At 46.4% G+C, this 17,657-nt stretch overlaps 1 protein-coding gene across 29 annotated transcripts in view, besides 5 other annotated features; it reads left to right on the forward strand.

Annotated features, from left to right (window-relative positions):
* Positions 820-1,114: an enhancer, noted in NCBI's record as "tiled region #2319; HepG2 Activating DNase matched - State 5:Enh, and K562 Activating DNase unmatched - State 5:Enh". NCBI's record gives its function as "activates a minimal TATA promoter and a strong SV40 promoter by Sharpr-MPRA in HepG2 cells, with weak activation in K562 cells {active_cell/tissue: HepG2 | K562}" and the evidence as "EXISTENCE:reporter gene assay evidence [ECO:0000049][PMID:27701403]".
* Positions 4,044-4,093: an enhancer, noted in NCBI's record as "active region_12764". NCBI's record gives its function as "activates an Ori minimal core promoter by ATAC-STARR-seq in GM12878 lymphoblastoid cells {active_cell/tissue: GM12878}" and the evidence as "EXISTENCE:reporter gene assay evidence [ECO:0000049][PMID:35858748]".
* Positions 4,244-4,403: a silencer, noted in NCBI's record as "silent region_8966". NCBI's record gives its function as "represses an Ori minimal core promoter by ATAC-STARR-seq in GM12878 lymphoblastoid cells {active_cell/tissue: GM12878}" and the evidence as "EXISTENCE:reporter gene assay evidence [ECO:0000049][PMID:35858748]".
* TMEM94 (transmembrane protein 94) overlaps positions 4,347-17,657 on the forward strand; it is a 43,818-nt gene continuing 30,507 nt past the window's right edge. For 26 of the 29 annotated variants that reach the window (XM_011525514.3, NM_001438842.1, XM_047437159.1 and 23 more), the window contains exon 1: positions 4,347-4,463. The gene's annotated coding sequence lies outside the window, so the exon portion shown is untranslated. Of the gene's footprint in view, positions 4,464-5,005; positions 5,190-17,657 lie in introns of all 29 variants that reach the window. The other 3 variants (XM_047437170.1, NM_001438841.1, XM_047437179.1) reach the window with 1 other exon arrangement.
* Positions 7,597-7,646: a silencer, noted in NCBI's record as "silent region_8967". NCBI's record gives its function as "represses an Ori minimal core promoter by ATAC-STARR-seq in GM12878 lymphoblastoid cells {active_cell/tissue: GM12878}" and the evidence as "EXISTENCE:reporter gene assay evidence [ECO:0000049][PMID:35858748]".
* Positions 16,391-16,559: a silencer, noted in NCBI's record as "fragment chr17:73464760-73464928 (GRCh37/hg19 assembly coordinates)". NCBI's record gives its function as "represses an EF-1alpha promoter that drives an FKBP-Casp9 reporter gene in an ReSE screen in K562 erythroleukemia cells {active_cell/tissue: K562}" and the evidence as "EXISTENCE:reporter gene assay evidence [ECO:0000049][PMID:32094911]".

Raw genomic sequence — 17,657 nt, forward strand, 5'->3', positions numbered from 1 at the left:
TTGCTATCTCCCTCCAAACCTTTCCCCTGTGTGATTCGAAGCCCATTATTTCTTTTTTATTATATACTTTTTTCTCTTTTGAAAAATTTTTTAATAGAGAAGGCATCTCGCTATGTTCCCCAGGTGGGTCTTGAACTCCTAGGCTCAAGCAATCTGCCCACCTCTGCCTCCCAAAGTGCTGGAATTACAGGCATGCAGGCATGAGCCACCGGACCCAGCTCCCTTTTTTTCTTTTCTTTTTTTTTGAGATGGAGTCTTGCTTTGTCACCCAGGCTGCAGTGCAGTGGAGCTATCTCGGCTCACTGCAACCTCCACATCCCAGCTTCAAGTGAGTTTCCCACCTCAGCCTCCGGAGTAGCTGGGATTACAGGTGCCCACCACCACGCCCAGCTAATTTTTGTATTTTTGTACAGACAGGGTTTCACCATGTTGGCCAGGCTAGTCTTGAATCCCTGAACTCAGGTGATACACCCACCTCAGCCTCCCAAAGGACTGGGCTTACAGAAGTGAGCCACTGCACCCAGCCTACTCCTGTTACTTTTAAACAAATGACTAGGTTGAAAAGATGGCTGCCAGGTGCGGTGGCTCACGCCTGTAATCCCATCACTTCGGAAGGCCAAGGTGGGTGGATCACGAGGTCAGGAGTTCAAGACCAGCCTGACCAACATGGTGAAACCCCATCTTTACTAAAAATACAAAAATTAGCCGGGCATGGTGGCACATGCCTGTAATCCCAGCTACTGGGGAGGCTGAGGCTGGAGAATCACTTGAACCCTGGAGGCGGAGGTTGCAGTGAGCCAAGATCGCGCCACTGCACTCCAGCCTGGGTGATAGAGCGAGACTCAGTCTCAAAAAAAAAAAAAAAAAAAAGAAAGGTGCAATGAGGAAGGATGCTCAGGTCAGGGTGTGGGAGGACCTTGCCCTGCTTGTGTGTGATTCTGCACGTCATTCCTGGCTCAACAGCCTGAATGAGTCCTGCTGGATCACTCTCGTTTCTGACTCACTTCTCATATCTCTGTTTAGATGAAGGGAAATCTTATAGATAAACAAGAGTGTTTTCTCGCTGATGCTTTGTCCAGTACTATGCTCTAAATTGGCCTTGACCAGGTAATCTGGAGCTGGCAGAGGTAGCTTCTGTCATTGTAACTCAGATGATATGAGATCTGAGGTGCAGAAATCGAGTTATCCCTTCCTCCTTCACCCTAAACCTTAAGTCCAGCCACTAGACTGTGCCTGTTCTACCTGCTAACTATCTCTTGAACACATTTCTTCTTCTTTTTTTTTTTTTTTTTTTTTTTGTGAGACGGAGTCTTGCTCTGTCACCCAGGCTGCAGTGCAGTGGCGCGATCTTGGCTCACTGCAACCTCCGCCTCCTGGATTCAAGTGATTCTCCTGTCTCAGCCTCCCGAGTAGCTGGGACTACAGGCATGCACCACCATGCCCTGCTAATTTTTGTATTTTTTGGTAGAAACAGGGTTTCACCATATTGGCCGGGCTGGTCTCGAACTCCTGACCTCAGATGATCTGCCCGCCTCAGCCCCCTAAAGTGCTGTGATTACAGGCGTGAGCCACCGTGCCCAGCAGTGTTAGTGTAGTTTATGTGTGGCCCAAGACAATTCTTCTTCCAACATGGCCCAGGGAAGCCTAAAGATTGAACACTCCTGAGCTAAGGGAAATGGCATGTAAGGCTGGAGGGGGAGGGACTGAGAACACAGATGGGGAAAAGGAGGAAAAGGCTGTCTTCCTGCAGGAACATAGAAAGGGAAAGAGAAGTGGATGAAGTAGATGAGAAATCTCCAAGGGAAGGCCTTGGTCTTCTTCTCAATAGACTCATCTTGGTACTCATCTGAAGACACGGGAAGCTTCAGAAAAATGAAGAAGGATTGGTATAGCTGCTTGGGGTTGCTAGACAACCAACAAGACTTGGTTAAGGGACCTCAGATCTGCAAAGCTAATTCAGGGTGAATTTAGAGTGGGCACATTGGCATGTTCTGGCTTGAGTGATTTGATTTACTCATGTAGCAAAATTTTATGGCTGAGGGGACTGACAGAGGAAGTGGTCAGGCAGATGGAGAGTTGCAGAGCCCTTGAAACTAGCAGGCATTCAGTGCAATTTCATTGAGTGATATTCATAAAACCCAGTGGAGCTGAAAAACCAGTGTGGCCAGAGGGGGCTGAGAGGTTCAAAGTGAAGTGACTGTGCTACATTTGTTAATCTTCCAAAGGCAGCCAACTAGATCTTAAGGGGTCAAGTGGAAAGATGTAATATATAGGTAGCCTGCTAGCTCAATTCAACAAATGTTAATGGATACAAGGCAGCAAGTAAGGTGCTGTGGAAACTGCTAAGATAAGCCAGCTGCCCGCAGGGAGTTTGAGGTCTTACAAAAAGAGCAATGCTGTATAAAGCAGACTTTTGCAAAGGTGGCAATGCAGACACAGAGAAGGAGGCCCAGCATTATATATAGAGAGAGTCAATGACTAAAACCCAGGGAGAGGCTGGGAGTGGTGGCTCACACTTGCGATCCCAGCATTTTGGGAGGCTGAGGCAGGAGGATTGCTTGAGGCCAGGAGTTTGAGACTAACCTGGGCAACATAGCAAGACCCCATCTCTATAAAAAATAAAAAAATTAGCTGGGTGTGGTGGTTCGCACCTGTAGTCCTAGCTACTCAGGAGGCTGAGGTGGGAGGATTGCTTGAGCCCAGGTGTTCGAGGCTGCAGTGAGCTATGATGGCACCACTGCACTTGCCAGACTGGGTGACAGAGTGATACCCTGCTCTAAAAATAAATAAATATGTACATACATACAAGAAAAAATAAAAGTCAAGAAAGGTAGCATTTGAGGTGGGCCTTTAGGTTGATTAAGTATTTATTTGCATGCTGGCTTTACTGATAAGAAAGAACCGTCAGGCTGGGTGCGGTGGCTCACGCCTGTAATCACAGCACTTTGGCAGGCCGAGGCAGGTGGATCACCTGAGCTCAGGAGTTTGAGACCAGCCTGGCCAACATGTTCAAACCCTGTCTCTACTAAAAATACAAAAATTAGCTGGGTATGGTGGCAGGCACCTGTAATCCCAGCTACTCCGGAGGCCGTGGCAAGAGAATCACTTGAACCCGGGAGGTGAAGGTTGCAGTGAGCCGAGATCAAGCCATTGCCCTCCAGCCTAGGCGACAAGAGCGAAACTCCGTCTCAAAAAAAAAAAGAAAAAAAGAACCTTTAAAGCAAAGCGTAGGGAACCAACCATGTGACGAAGGAGCAGAGGTGGAAAGGTCTCTGTCACGTTTAAAGAATGGTGGTTAATCTATGTGGCTGCAGGAATAGTTTAGCCTGTGGGGACTTAGACCTGGAAACGTATGTCTGAGTCAATTTATGAAGGACTTTGAACATCAGGCAGAAAGATTTGGACCTATTTGCAAAGGTGAACTATCAGTTTTTGTGTGCAGGTTAGTGACATGATTCTTATGGCGTTTTAGGCAACAGCTAAACTGGGTCATACAAGATTAGGTACTAAAATGCCATCTTCTTGTCCAGCTGAGAAAGGGATTTTAATTACGTAATTAAACTCATGAATGTGGGAAGGGGCTCTTACTTCACAAGGCCAACCTCAGCTCTTTCCCAATTATATAAACAAGTTTTTGTTTGTTTTTTTGTTTTTGTTTTTTTTAAACAAGCCTTCCAGACTTAGATCTCTGGGAAAAGAGAAGTAAATACTGACACAGGCTTGCTTTGTTTTCCCAAGAGAGGTCTCCCAGGCGATTTATCTAATTACCTAGAAAAAAAATTTAACTTGTTTTTCCCTTTAGATTTCAGCCGAGCTGGAAGCGGGAGGGGGGAATTGCAGTATTGCCTTAGATTTTCTAGATTTGGTTTGGACGCAATATTCGTCCTGAGGGAGTCCCTCCAAGGCCTCTCGGAGCGGGCAGCCTCTAGGCATTTGTTCAAGGCAACAAGGAGGGAGCTTAGAAGAACTTAAGAGAGGCGGGGAGCTCTGCAAAGGGCTTATTTTAAAAAGAAAGGGAAAAAAGGTGGGGCGCGCCGTCTATCTTTTTAGAATAATTCTGTAGGAAAACGAATCGGAGGTAAAGCCATGCCCTCTGGTCAGGGTTTCTGGACTAGAAACTGCCTGAGCTTTACGCACAGGAAAGGACAGTGGCTCTTCACTCTCCCGGCCGCATCACTCGGCACCTAATTCCGCCAGGCTCCCAGAGGGGCGGTTGCAGCTACAGCCTAGCACGCCGCGTAGCCAATAAGAAGCCAGAATTCCCCCTATTCTCAAATCCTGACCAATCGGTGGCCTGAACTTTAGCTCTCTGGCCGGCGCCTCTGTTGCCCGGAAGGGAGGCAAGCCCCCTTAGAGTTGCCAGTAACGGACATGGCTGCGGCCCCCGGAGGAGGGGACGTGAAGTGAGGAGGGGGTTGGGAGGGGAGAGGACGCGGGCGAGGAAGACCAGCCCCGGGGCCCCGGTAAGTACGAGAAGGCCCGTGGCCCGAAAGTGGGGAGCAAGGGGGCGTGGGGCTCGGCCTTGCGCGTCCTTTGGATTCTTGGCCAAGGAAAGGGGAGTCTGGGGTCTGCACCCAGAGAACGGCTTAAGGGGATGCCTCCTGAGGGGGAGTCCAGGGACTGGCTCTAGTCTCCAGCTCTTGACCATTGCCTTCCCCCGAGTCTTCAGACTCTTGCTCTCAGCCCTGGATTGGTCCATTGTGGGGTCTCTCGCCAGAAATAAAGCCTCTCGCCAACAAAGAATCCCTGCCCCAGGTCTGTCGTGCCTAGGCCCTGGCCCAGAGGGCTCCCAACGCCGACGCCCTGAGTATTTATTTCGAGGCCCCTGGGAGTCCTCATCCCCGACCTAAATAAAGACCGTTGTCCCGCCTGCGCGCGCTCTCCGCAGCCGCCCGGGGTCCTCGCGCGGCCGTCCCCAGCTGGATGGAGCCGGCCGAGGGGCTCCTGGCAGCCATCCCTGATCTTGCAGTTTGGAGCGGGCTTTTTTTTCTTTCCGCCTTTCCAGAAGCGTTTTCAGGCTCCTCGGAAGCTCACCATCCATGCCATCGGATAAAGTGACTCCTGTGGAATGCCCTCGTTCCTGTACCGCACACCCCTGGAGCCCAGGTCTCCTGGTTCCTAGCATGCCACGATGCGGCCCCTGCCCGCTGCCCAGCGCCAGATGCAAGCAAAGCCCCGCTCTTTCATTGGTGTGTCACCGCGGGCTAAACTTTGGCGTTGCCTTGGTCACGTGCTGCTACATCCCACCCTCTCTCCTGAGTTTTTCGGTGGCTCTTGAGGGAAAAAAGGAGGGAGCTCGTTATGGAATCTGTTTTCCTTCTGCTATGTGGGTGTATGCATTGGAGAGAAGGATCTTTTTCTCATGATTTATCCAAGACGCTCAGCTTTAGTGACATAGTTGTTATTCCGCAGGTAATCTTGGAAGATGGAAGCAGGGAGGGGGCAGTTTTAACATTTTCATTTTGCAGATGTGGAGATTGTTCGGAGAGGCAAGGCCAGGGTCACCTAGAGCCAAACTAGAATCCGAAAGTCCAGGGGCTTGAGTTCTTTATCCGCTAGACCTAGTTGTTTCCTAGGTGTGACCTGAGGAGATCAAGTTCCCTGACTCCCCTGAGCTCTTGCAGGGTGGCTCTGGGCATTAAAAGCGATGGGCATTAAAAGTAGGATCCTCCTATGCTTCCTGGCAATGACTAGGGTCTTCATACCTGGTTTGCATTCAGTAATTTTAAGAAGCCAGCAGGTAGTTCTCTGGCAGACTTCTTGTATTAATATTCATTGTAGTCTCTGTCTGTATTGGGGGCGTAAATTATTTTAGTGATTCTCAGGGCAGCGAGAGGCAGAGTAAGAGGAAGGTATGCCTCTTCCTTGGTTTTTGGGAACCATTACAGTGTCATTAGAGATGTTATTAACAGGAACGCGTTGCATACAGGAACAGCGTGGAGGCAGAAAAAGATTGAGAGCCATTGAAGAGAGAAGAAATGGCACTGTGGTATCTCTTTATAGTACTTTTGGCAAAAGAAGAGCTGATCTTGGTATTCTGAAGAGGTAGTTTAAAAAAAAAGTTAGATCCTGAGGCATAACTAAAAGAATACAAATAAATAAAAAAATTTAAAGCAATGGCACTAGTAAGGTTCAAAAGAGTCAAAGTAATGCCTGTAATCCCAGCACTTTGGGAGGCTGCTGTGGGAGGACTGCTTGAGCCCAGGAGTTTGAGATCAACCTGGGCAACACACTGACAAGAAAACCAAAAAAATTAGCTGGGCATGGTGGCATGTGCCTGTGTTCCCAGCTACTTGGGAGGTGGATGCCAGAGGATCGCTTGAGCCCAGAAGGTCGACGCTGCAGTGAGCTGTGATCATGCCACTGCACTCACTCTAGCCTGGGCAACAGAGCAAGACTCTGTCTCCAAAAAAAAAAAAAAGAGTCATGGAATCAAAAAGTTTGAAAATCACTGTAAAGATCAGAGCACATTAAAATGTAGACTATTGGCCGGGCGCAGTGGCTCACGCCTGTAATCCCAGCACTTTGGGAGGCAGAGGCAGGCGGATCACGAGGTCAGGAGATCAAGACCATCCTGGCTAACACGGTGAAACCCCATCTCTACTAAAAATGCAAAAAATTAGCTGGGTATTGTGGCGGGTGCCTGTAGTCCCAGCTACTTGGGAGGCTGAGGCAGGAGAATGGCGTGAACCCGGGAGGCAGAGCTTGCAGTGAGCCGAGATCGCGCCACTGCACTCCAGCCTGGGCGACACAGCGAGACTCCGTCTCAAAAAAAAAAAAACAAAAAAAACAAAAACAAATAAAATGTAGACTATGGTGGTTAACCCTAGAACAGGAGACAGCATGTTCAGATAAAATCCTCAAACATTGCAAGTCTTAGCTGCTATGTTAGCTCTAACTTCCTTGCTCACTGGTTCTCTTTGTCAAAACTGCAAACAGGGAAACTGGTGGATACTGTGGAGTAGTGCAATGACCAGGGAGGTGAAGTACAAACCATCTTCTTCATCATCAGCCCCCAAATAATTGAGAGTTAACTGCCCTTGAACCACCAGACCACCATGCCCCTTGTTTGTGGTGACTTGACATCAGATGAGACTGGGAGAGCCAGGCCTTGACAGTGAAATGGAAGAGAAACCCCATGGCATTTCTATTTTGAGAAGTTGCTAGGTGTGCCAGCTCCTAGTGCTGAGAACCAGCCTTTTGGAAACCTTAACTCCTGTAGAAACTAATGAGAAATGAAGGTTGTGATCGTCCTGTTCCTGCCTGCTGCTCTCTCCCTAAGTTGGGCTTGAGAAACAGTTTCTATAGGAGAGGGAGGAGTCCTAATGTAAATACCACCTACACCCAAGGCTGTATGTATTTAGCTTAATCTGATGAATCAGGTTGAACTCGTACCTTAGCAGTCTAAGCCTGAACGCCATAAAGCCTTTAAGTCCATTCCTGGTGTTCAAGTGAGAAGGTTCTGGGTCAGGCGTGGCACTGGTTGGTAAATATGTGTCAATATTTCTTATCTTACTATTGTGTTAGTGTTGTTTTTACGATGGTGTCTTTCTTTACCCAAATGATAGGATTTAAAAATATTGTTTAAAGCCCGTTTCCAAGCAGGCCTGGGTTTGTTTATAGCAGCACAGGTGAACTAGAGGGTAGGCCATGGCTGAAACAGGAATGCTTTTCTTCCGAGCAGACCCGCCAGCCAGAATGTGTGGTTTGGTGATCAGGGGTTTGTGTAATAATAAGCTTTGCCTGTGGCCACTGAGACGGTAGTAAACAGTATGGGTCACATGGCATGACAAGTAGGTTAAGGGCCAGATTTAGACACTGATGGCCTGCGTAAGGAGGAGCAAACCACACACTGCTTGCTTTGGGTTTCTCTAGCTCCCAAGGCCAGAAGTGATGGGAGAGGGGTGAGGGGTGTCAGAGAGAAGAACCTTGAAAGGCTTAGAGTGGTATTTGAGGAACCATAAATTTTAGTGTACTATAATTAAATGAACCCAATTTTCATAACTTCAAGGGCTTCTTGAAAAAGGGGTTCATGGTACCAGTCTTGCTTGGTAGGGAGGTGAATAGAAAAATACTGGGAAACACTTAAAAAAGATGTATGCTGGACAAAGACTCAGGTGTACTGAAAGAGCGTAAACCTTCATTATGTTGACGTGAAAGCCAAGTAGGGAATGTTGCTTAGCTATAAGGCAGAGCCTATTGCAAAATCAGAATCAGGAGCTGCTGATTTTTTTTTTTTTTTTTGAGACAGAACTTGCTCTGTAGCCCATGTTGGAGTGCAGTGGTGTGATTACGGCTTACGGCAGCCTTGATCTTCTGGGCTCAGGTGATCCTTCCACCTTACCCCCTGAGTAGCTGGGACCACAGGCACATGCCACCACACCTGGCTAATTTTTGTATTTTTTACAGAGACGGTTCTTGCCCTGTTGCCCAGGCTGGTCTCAAACTCCTGTGCTCAAGGGATCTGCCTGCCTCGGCCTCCCAAAGTGCTGGAATTACAGGTGGCCAGAAGTTGCCGATTTTTAAAATTAAGGAAAAAAATACATAGTATAACATTTTCCATTGTAACCAGTTCTGTGGCATTAAGTACATTTGCATTGTTGTGCAACCCTCATCACTATCCATCTCCAGAACTTTCTTAGTTTCCCAAACTGAAACTCTGTCACCATTAAACATTTAACTCCCCATTTCCCCCCTGCTCCCACCCCCGGCAACCATCTTTCTACTTTCTGTCTCTGTGATTTTGACTATTCTAGAAACCTCATATAAGAGGAATCATACAACATTTGTCCTTTTGCGATTGGCTTTTTTTTTTTTTTTTTTTTTTTGAGACAGAGTTTTGCTCTATTGCCCAAGGCTGGAGTGCAGTGGTGTGGTCTCAACTTACTGCAATCTCCGCCTCCCGAGTTCAAGCAATTCTCCTGCCTCAGCCTCCGGAGTAGCTGGGAATATAGGTGCACACTACCGTGCCCGGCTAATTTTTGTATTTTTAGTAGAGCCGGGGTTTCGCCATGTTGGCCATGCTGATGTCGAACTCCTGACCCCAGATGATCCGCCTGCTTCGGCCTCCCAAAGTGCTGGGATTACAGGCATGAGCCACCGTGTCCAGCCTGAAGTTGCTGATCTTTTAAAGACATATTGGATACATTCACATGGTTTGAAAATCAAAAGGCACAAAAGTATATGTATTCAAGGGCAGAAAAAAGTATAAAAAAGAATTTTTTTAAAAAGTATATATAGTAAAAATTCTTCCTGCTCCCAACCATTCCCTAGCCACTCAGTTCCAATTTATTAATTTTTCCTTTTGTGGATTATGCTTTTGGTACTGAATCTAAGAAATGTAATCCACAGTAGGCCGGGCGCAGTGGCTCACGCCTGTAATCCCAGCATTTTGGGAGGCCGAGGTGGGCGGATCACGAAGTCAGGAGATCGAGACCATCCTGGCTAACATGGTGAAACCCCGTCTCTACTAAAAATTAGCTGGGCGTGGTGGCGGGCGCCTGCAGTCCCAGCTACTCGGGAGGCTGAGGCAGGAGAATGGCGCGAACCCGGGAGGCGGAGCTTACAGTGAGTCGAGATCGTGCCACTGCACTCCAGCATGGACGACAGAGCAAGACTCCGTCTCAAAAAAAAAAAAAGAAAAGAAATGTAACCCAAAGTCACAAAGATTTTTTCCTATCTCCTATATAAATTTTACAGTTTTTTTTGTTTTGTTTTGTTTTGTTTTTTTTTTTTTTGAGGCAGAGTCTTCTTGCTCTGTTGCCCAGGCTGGAGTGCAGTGGCACGATCTCGGCTCACTGCAACCTCTGCCTCCTGGGTTCAAGTGATTCTCCTGCCTCAGTCTCCCAAGTAGCTGGGACTACAGGCGCCCACCAGCACTCTCAGCTAATTTTTTTGTATTTTTAGTAGAGACAGGGTTTCATCATGTTGGCCAGGATGGTCTCGATCTCTTGACCTCGTGATCTGCCGGTCTCGATCTCTTTACCTCGTGATCTGTCAGCCTCGACCTCCCAAAGTGCTGGGATTACAGGCGTGAGCCACTGCGCCTGGCCTGAATGTCTTTTATAAGCAGAGTTGAGCATCTTTGCATATGGAGAAGCTATTGGATTTTTGGTTTCACATTCTCTCAGGGTTAGAATTGTCTTCCTACCCTCCACCTCATGTATTAATTATCTCCATAATTTCTCAGCTTCTGCTTGGTTCCCTCTAGTGATGGGAGCTCATTGCTTCACAGGGCAGCCTATTCCATTTTTAAAAATATACAGTTCTAAGGCTGGGCATGGTGGCTGACACCTGTAATCCCAGCACTTTGGGAGGCCAAGATGGGAAAATCGCTTGAGGCCAGGAGTTCGAGACCAGCCTGGTCAACATAAGTGAGACCCCATCTCTATTAAAAAAAATTAAAAATATACAGTTCTAGGCTTGACTCAGTGGCTCATATCTGTAATTCCGGCACTTTGGGAGGCTGAGGTGGGAGGATTTGCTTGAGCCCCAGAGTTCTAGACCAGTCTGGGCAACATAGCAAGACCTTGTGTCTACAAAAAAAAAAAAAGCTGGTCATGGTGGCATGTGTCTGTGGTCCCAGCTACTCGGGTGGCTGAAGTGGAAAGATTGTTTGAGCCCAGGAGTTTGAGACTGCAGTTGCAGTTAGCCATGATCATGCCACTGCACTCCAGCCTGGGCAACAGAATGAGGACATGTCTCCAAAAATAAAAAAAGTAAAAAAAAAAAAAAAAAAAAAAAAAAAAAATATATATATATATATATATATATATATATATATATATATATACACACACACACACATATATATGTGTGTATATATATGTATATATATACGTGTATATATGTATATATATACACGTATATATATGTGTGTGTGTGTGTGTGTATATATATATATATATATACAGTTTAAATTATGTAGAAAGATACTGTACATTTTAAGTCTCAGTCTACTTCTTATAGCATCCTAGTTCCTGTTTTGGGGCCTCCCAGAGTAAGCCTGGCCCTTCTCACTGCTTGTAGCCATTATACCTTTCTAGCCCTGCTTGCACCCAAAGTGTGTTTTTAGGGTACTGGCTAAGCATCTTCAGTTCATTCTGCCATTTCTCACGTCTTAGTTTCTCCAACCTGGTTGCTGCTCTCTGAAATCCTTCCAGTTTTGTTAGTGTCCTTCTTAAAGTGTGTGATGCGCAACTGAACAAGATATTCCAGGTATGCTCTGACATGTACAGAAATCAGACTTCCTCGTCTGTTGTTAGGGACACAGGTATCTGTTAATGCAGCCTAAATGTGAATGAACTTTGAGTGAGCATACACTCATATTGAAATTGCATCTAACTAAGCCATTTGTGGTAGTTTTATACAGTAGTTTTTGAACCTAAGTGCAGGACTTAATATTTTTTCCAGTTAAACTGAACCCCTTTGATTTGGCCCATCACTTCAGCCTGTTGAGAGCTTCTTGGATTTTGACTTTGATCTCCTTTCCAGGTTTATGCTATCCAAGAATTTGATTAGCATACCATCTGTTTCCTCACCCAAGTCATTGATAAAAATATTGACTGTAATGCCACCAAGGATAGAATCCTACAGCTTGCTATTAAAAACTTCCCTCCAGCTTAACACAGATCTATCAATTAGTACCCTGTGGGCACAACTATTAAACCGAATACAGATCCACCTAACCGCATTTTTGGTGTGTTGGGCATGGCTGGCTTACAAGCACAGCTAATGAAGATTGTGCTAGAAGGGATTAGAAGGACAGCCAACTCCTCATCTTGCCCTCAACCTGAGCCTTGGGCTCCCACTTAGTTCTTTTTGACCTTGTTTCTGAGCTTGGCAGCAGGAGGCATCCACCCCTTTGTCTTCATGGCTACTGTTGCCAGCTTTGTCTAGATACTTGGCATGGCAAACCAAGATTATCATCATTTTCTTCTAACTCTTCTGCCTATAATTTCTTTCCTTTTCCCTCTGATCCATTTTCTACCCTCTTAAAATACTGAGAACAGCCTGGGCAACATAGACCCTGTCTCCAAAAAAAAAATTGTCAGGCATAGTGGCACATACCTGTGATCCTAGCTACTCGGGAGGCTGAGGTGGGAGGATCACTTGAGCCTGGGAAGTTGAGGTACAGTGAGCTGTGATCGCACCACTGTACTCCAGGCTGGGCAATAGGGTGAGGCCTTGTCTCAAACAAACAAACAAACAAACCTGGGGCCTACTCAGAAACCCAGACTCTTCAGTGACTCCTCAGAGCCTCTCCATTTTGGCCCCTTATCCCTGTGTATTTTTTCATTTTCTTTCTTTCTTTCTTTCCTTCCTTTCTTTCTTTCCTTCCTTCCTTCCTTCCTTCCTTCCTTCCTTCCTTCCTTCCTTCCTTCCTTCCTTCTTTCTTTCTTTCTTTCTTTCTTTCTTTCCTCTTTTCTTTCTTTCTTGAGACGGAGTTTCACTCTTGTTGCCCAGGATGGAGTGCGATGGCATGATCTCAGCTCACTGCAACCTCCGCCTCCTGAGTTCATGCGATTCTCCTGCCTCAGCCTCCCAAGTAGCTGGGACTACAGGTGCAGTCGGCTGATTTTTGTATTTTTAGTGGAGATGGGGTTTCTCCATGTTGGTCAGGCTGGTCTTGAACTCCCGACCTCAGGTGATCCACCCACCTCAGCTTCCCAAAGTGCTGGGATTACAGGCATGAGCCACTGCACCCGGCTCTTTTTGTTGTTGTTGTTAGAGACAGGGTCTCACTCCGTTTCCCAGGCTGGAGTGTAGTGGCGTGATCATAGCTCCCTGCAGCCTTGAACTCCTGGTCTCAAGATCCTCCTGCGTCAGCCATATTCTCAGTCTTTTTCATTTTAGTCGTTCTAATGGGTGTGTATTGGTCTCTCGTTGTGGTTTTAAATTTTTTTGTAAGACAGGGTCTTGCTATGTTGCCCAGGCTAGTCTCCAACTCTTGGCCTCAAGTCATCCTCCCCCGTCAGCCTCCCAAAGTGCTGAAATTACAGGCGTGAGCCACCATGCCTGGCCTTCTCATTGTGGTTTTAATTTTTGTTTCCCAATAATTAATGTTGTTGACCATCTTTTCATATTCATATTGACTGTTTATATATCTTGTGAAATGTCTGTTCAAATCTCTGCCTGTTTATTATTTATTTATTTATTTTAAGACAAGTTCTCACTTTGTTGCCCAGGCTGGAGTGCAGTGGCGAGATCATGGCTCACTGCAACCTCCAACTCTTGAGCTCAAGTGATCCTCCTGCCTCAGCCTCCCAAGTAGCTAAGACTGCAGGTGTGTGCCAACATGCCTGGCTGAAATCTTTGCTCATTTTAAAATTGGGTTGTTGGTCTTGTTACTGAGCTATAAGAATTTTTATATATATATATATATATATATATTTTTTTTTAATCCCAAAGACTTCAAAACTACTTTTGCTTTTTGAGACGTGATTTTGGTATGTTGCTCAGGCTAGACTCAAACTCTTGGCCTCTAGTGATCTGTCTGCCTCAGCCTCCCAAAGTGCTAGGATTATAGGCATGAACCACTGTGCCCAACGTCAATTTTTTTATGGCATATTTTGAAGAGTGGAAATTTTTTTTATTTTTATGGAACAATTTATCAGTTGTTTTCTTTTATTTGTTTGTTTGTTTTTTAGAGGCAGGATCTTACTCTGTTGCCTAGACTGGAGTGAAGTGGCACAATCATAGTTCACTGTAACCTTCAACTCCTAGGCTCATGTGATTCCCCTACCTCAGCCTCACAAGTAGTTAGGACTACAGGCGTGCTCCACCAGACCTGGCTAAAGTTGCTGTCTTTTATAGTTTATGTTTTTTATGTTTTAAGAAATCTTTGCTTATCCCAAGTTATAAAGATTCCTGCCTCCACCCCTCCTGCATATTTTCTTCTGGAAGTATTATAGTTTTAACCTTTATGTTTAGATGTGTGATGCATTTTAAGTTAATTTTTGTATATGGTATGAAGTAAGGGTCAATATGTGTGAATCTAGTGCTAGACTCTCTGTTCTGTCCCATTGATTTGTATGCCTCTCCTTGTATCAGTACCACATGTTTTGATTACTGTAGCTGTATGTTAAATCTTCAAATCAGGTAGTGTAAGTCCTCAGAATTTGTTTCTCTTTTCAAAATTGTTTTGCCTATTCTTGGTCCTTTATCTTTCCATACAAATTTTAGAATCAGCTTGCCAATTTCTATGGAAGTCCCAGCTGGGACTTTCATTAACATTGTATTGAGAGGCTGGGCATGGTGGCTCATGCCTGTAATCCCAGCACTTTGGGAGGCCGAGGCAGGTGGGATCACCTGGGGTCAGGAGTTCAAGACCAGCCTGGCCAACATGGTGAAACCCCGTCTCTACTAAAAATGCAAAAAATTAGCCGGCCATGGTGGTGGACACCTGTAATCCCAGCTGTTCGGGAGGCTGAGGCAGGAGAATCACTTGAACCCAGGAGGCAGAGGTTGCAGTGAGCTGAGATTGTGCCATTGCACTCCAGCCTGGGCAACAGGAGTGGGAAAAAAAAAATTGTATTAAATCTATAAATTAGGGGATAATTGCCATCTTAATACTGAGCCTTCCAATCCATGAACATTGTATATTTCCCCATTTATTTAAGTCTTCTTTAATTTTTCTCAGCAGTGTACAGGTCTTACATATATTTTTATTAGAATAATTTCTAAAGGTTTTTTTTTTTTTTTGAGACTGAGTTTTGTTCTTGTCACCCAGGCTGGAGTGCAATGATGTGATCTCGGCTCACTGCAACCTCTGCCTCCCGGGTTCAAGTGATTCTCCTGCCTCAGCCTCCCAAGCAGCTGGGATTACAGGCACCCAAAACCACGCCTGGCTAATTTTTGTATTTTTAGTAGAGATGGGGTTTCACCATGTTGTCCAGGTTGGTCTGGAACTCCTGTCCTCAGGTGATCCACCCACCTCAGCCTCCCAAAGTGCTGGGGTTACAGGTGTGAGCCACCGTACCCAGCCATGCTGTTTTTATACTATTATAAATGATATTAAAATTTTTATTTTCTGATATTTGATTATAGTATATAGAAATATATTTATATTTTGTATTTTGACCCTATATCCTGCAGCTTTGCACCTTTATTTGTTTTAGTATCTTATTTGTAGAGTCCCTAATATTTTCTCCATATACAATTGATCTTGTCTTCTGCAAATAAGACAGTTTCACTTATTTTTTCCCATCATTATGCCATCCATTTCTTTTTCTTTTTTTTTTTTTTTTTTTTTTTGAGACGGAGTCTCGCTCTGTCGCCCAGGCCGGACTGCGGACTGCAGTGGCGCAATCTCGGCTCACTGCAAGCTCCGCTTCCCGGGTTCACGCCATTCTCCTGCCTCAGCCTCCCGAGTAGCTGGGACTACAGGCGCCCGCCACCGCGCCCGGCTAATTTTTTGTATTTTTAGTAGAGACGGGGTTTCACCTTGTTAGCCAGGATGGTCTCGATCTCCTGACCTCGTGATCCACCCGCCTCGGCCTCCCAAAGTGCTGGGATTACAGGCGTGAGCCACCGCGCCCGGCCCCATTTCTTTTTCTTCCACCTTGCTTTTGAGTCCTTATTCTTCACCTAAGTGGCACTTGGTTCATATTTTTTGCTTGCTGCTGATAGTAATGGCAGTTGTTTATTGAGTACCTACTATATGTCAAATATTATACTAGACCCCCTGCATATACTATTTTTCATAATTCTATAGCTCCTCTGTGAAATAGATATTGTCATTTCCATTCTATGAACAAAGACACTGAGGCTCAGAGGGACAAATAATTTGCCAAGGTCATTGGCGTTTGAGACATACTGGAGCTAGGATTTGAACCCGGGGATATTTGGCTTTGAATCCTGTGCTTTTTTTCACAATGGGCTAGGAGCAGAACTGGCCCTTTAAAGACCCTGCTACGGGTTTCAGATCAGACAGTTAAGAATGGCTGTCTCCCAGAATCCCATGTATGGAATGATGGGAAAACAGAGACTCTTAGAAAAATGTCCTGTTCCTGGCTGCCCTCTCTGTACTGCTGTGGTTCCAGCTGGCCACAGAGTGATTTTGCCTTTGCAGCGTTGGCAGAAGGAGTTAACAGGCACAGTCCCCATCTGGCTCCTGGTGTTTTTCCCTGTGTGGCAACGATCTCATCCAGCCCCTGCTGGGATGGGGTGTCATGGGGACCTTGAGCTGCAGTCGTAAGCAGGACTGGGGCAGCCTGAGTCAGACAGTGGCCTTGGGGAGGAGTGGATTTGGTCCCTCAGGATCCCATTTCAGTTGGCGACCAAAGACTGAATGTCACTGCATTGCAAGGCCACTTCCAGCGTCACTGTCTGTATCTGAGCCTTCGAGGCTGGCTCAGCTTTGAAAGGCAGGGGTGGAAGAGACGTGGTTGCTCAGCCTAGGGCACCAGCATGGGTGCCACCTTGAGAGGAATTGGGCGGGGTTTTGGAGTGGAGTTGGTGGCAGAACCTGGGCCTTCTGGTTGGGTCCTCCGGACACAGCTTTTATTATTTCTTGACAGCTTTTTTCTGGGTCAGTTCTGGGTTTCTGCCTGGCACCCCTTGACAAGGCTTGCTCCTGGCCCCCAAAAGAGCTGTCTTAGTCAGTAGGTTAGTGCTTTCTCCAAGAGGAGTCGCTTGGCATCAAACCAGATTGCTCAGTGTCACTCTTTACTCAAACACACCCTGGTCTGAGATCATTAGAGTGACGGCTGCCAGGACGGGAGGGTGAGGGCTGGTGAGGGTAGGTGGGGAGGTAGGGCAAACCTCATTTTCCAGGTAACCAGCCCGCTTTTGTCGGACCTGTTGTCAGATTGGGCTGCCCATCGTGTGTTCATCTGCTCAGGTGCCTGTTGAGCACTGCACTCAACCACGTGAGGGGCTGCGGGCTTGCACATGCTGGTGAGTGTGGCGTCTGACTGCCAGCACGTGGAAAGAAGTCAGTGCCTCGTTCTGGGGATGCAGTGGACATCCACCCTGCTGCTGTCCCAGCTGCCCCCTTATTATCCAACTTACATATCTAGATTTCACTTGATGTTAAGGCTAACCTTAACCCTAAATTTTTTTTTTTTTTTTTTGAGACCGAGTCTCACTTTGTCGCCCGACTGGAGTGCAGTGGCGCAATCTCAGCTCACTGGAACCTCTGCCTCCCAGGCTCAAGTGATTCTCCTGCCTCAGCCTCCTGAGTAGCTGGGATTACAGGCGCCCACCACCACGCCTGGCTAATTTTTGTATTTTTAGTAGAGATGGGGTTTCATCATATTGGCCAGGCTGGTCTGGAACTCCTGACCTCAAGTGATCTGCCTGCCTCGGCCTCCCAAAGTGCTGGGATTGCAGGCGTGAGCCACTGTGCTCGGCCTTAACCCTAAATTTTTAAAATGCTGACTGGGTGTAGTGGCTCATGCCTGAAATCTCAGCACTTTGAGAAGCCGAGGCGGGCAGATCACTTGAGGTCAGGAGCTCATGACCAGCCTGAGCAACATAGCAAGACCCCATCTCTACCAAAGAAGTAGTGATAATAAATAAAAATGCCAATAAATCCTTTGGGAGGCCGAGGTGGGTGGATCACCTGAGGTCGGGAGTTTGAGACGAGCCTGACCAACATGGTGAAACCCCGTCTCTAGTAAAAATACAAAAATTAGCTGGGCGTGGTGGCACAT

This window comes from Homo sapiens, chromosome 17 (genome assembly GCF_000001405.40).
Source record: "Homo sapiens chromosome 17, GRCh38.p14 Primary Assembly".
NCBI lineage: Eukaryota > Metazoa > Chordata > Mammalia > Primates > Hominidae > Homo > Homo sapiens.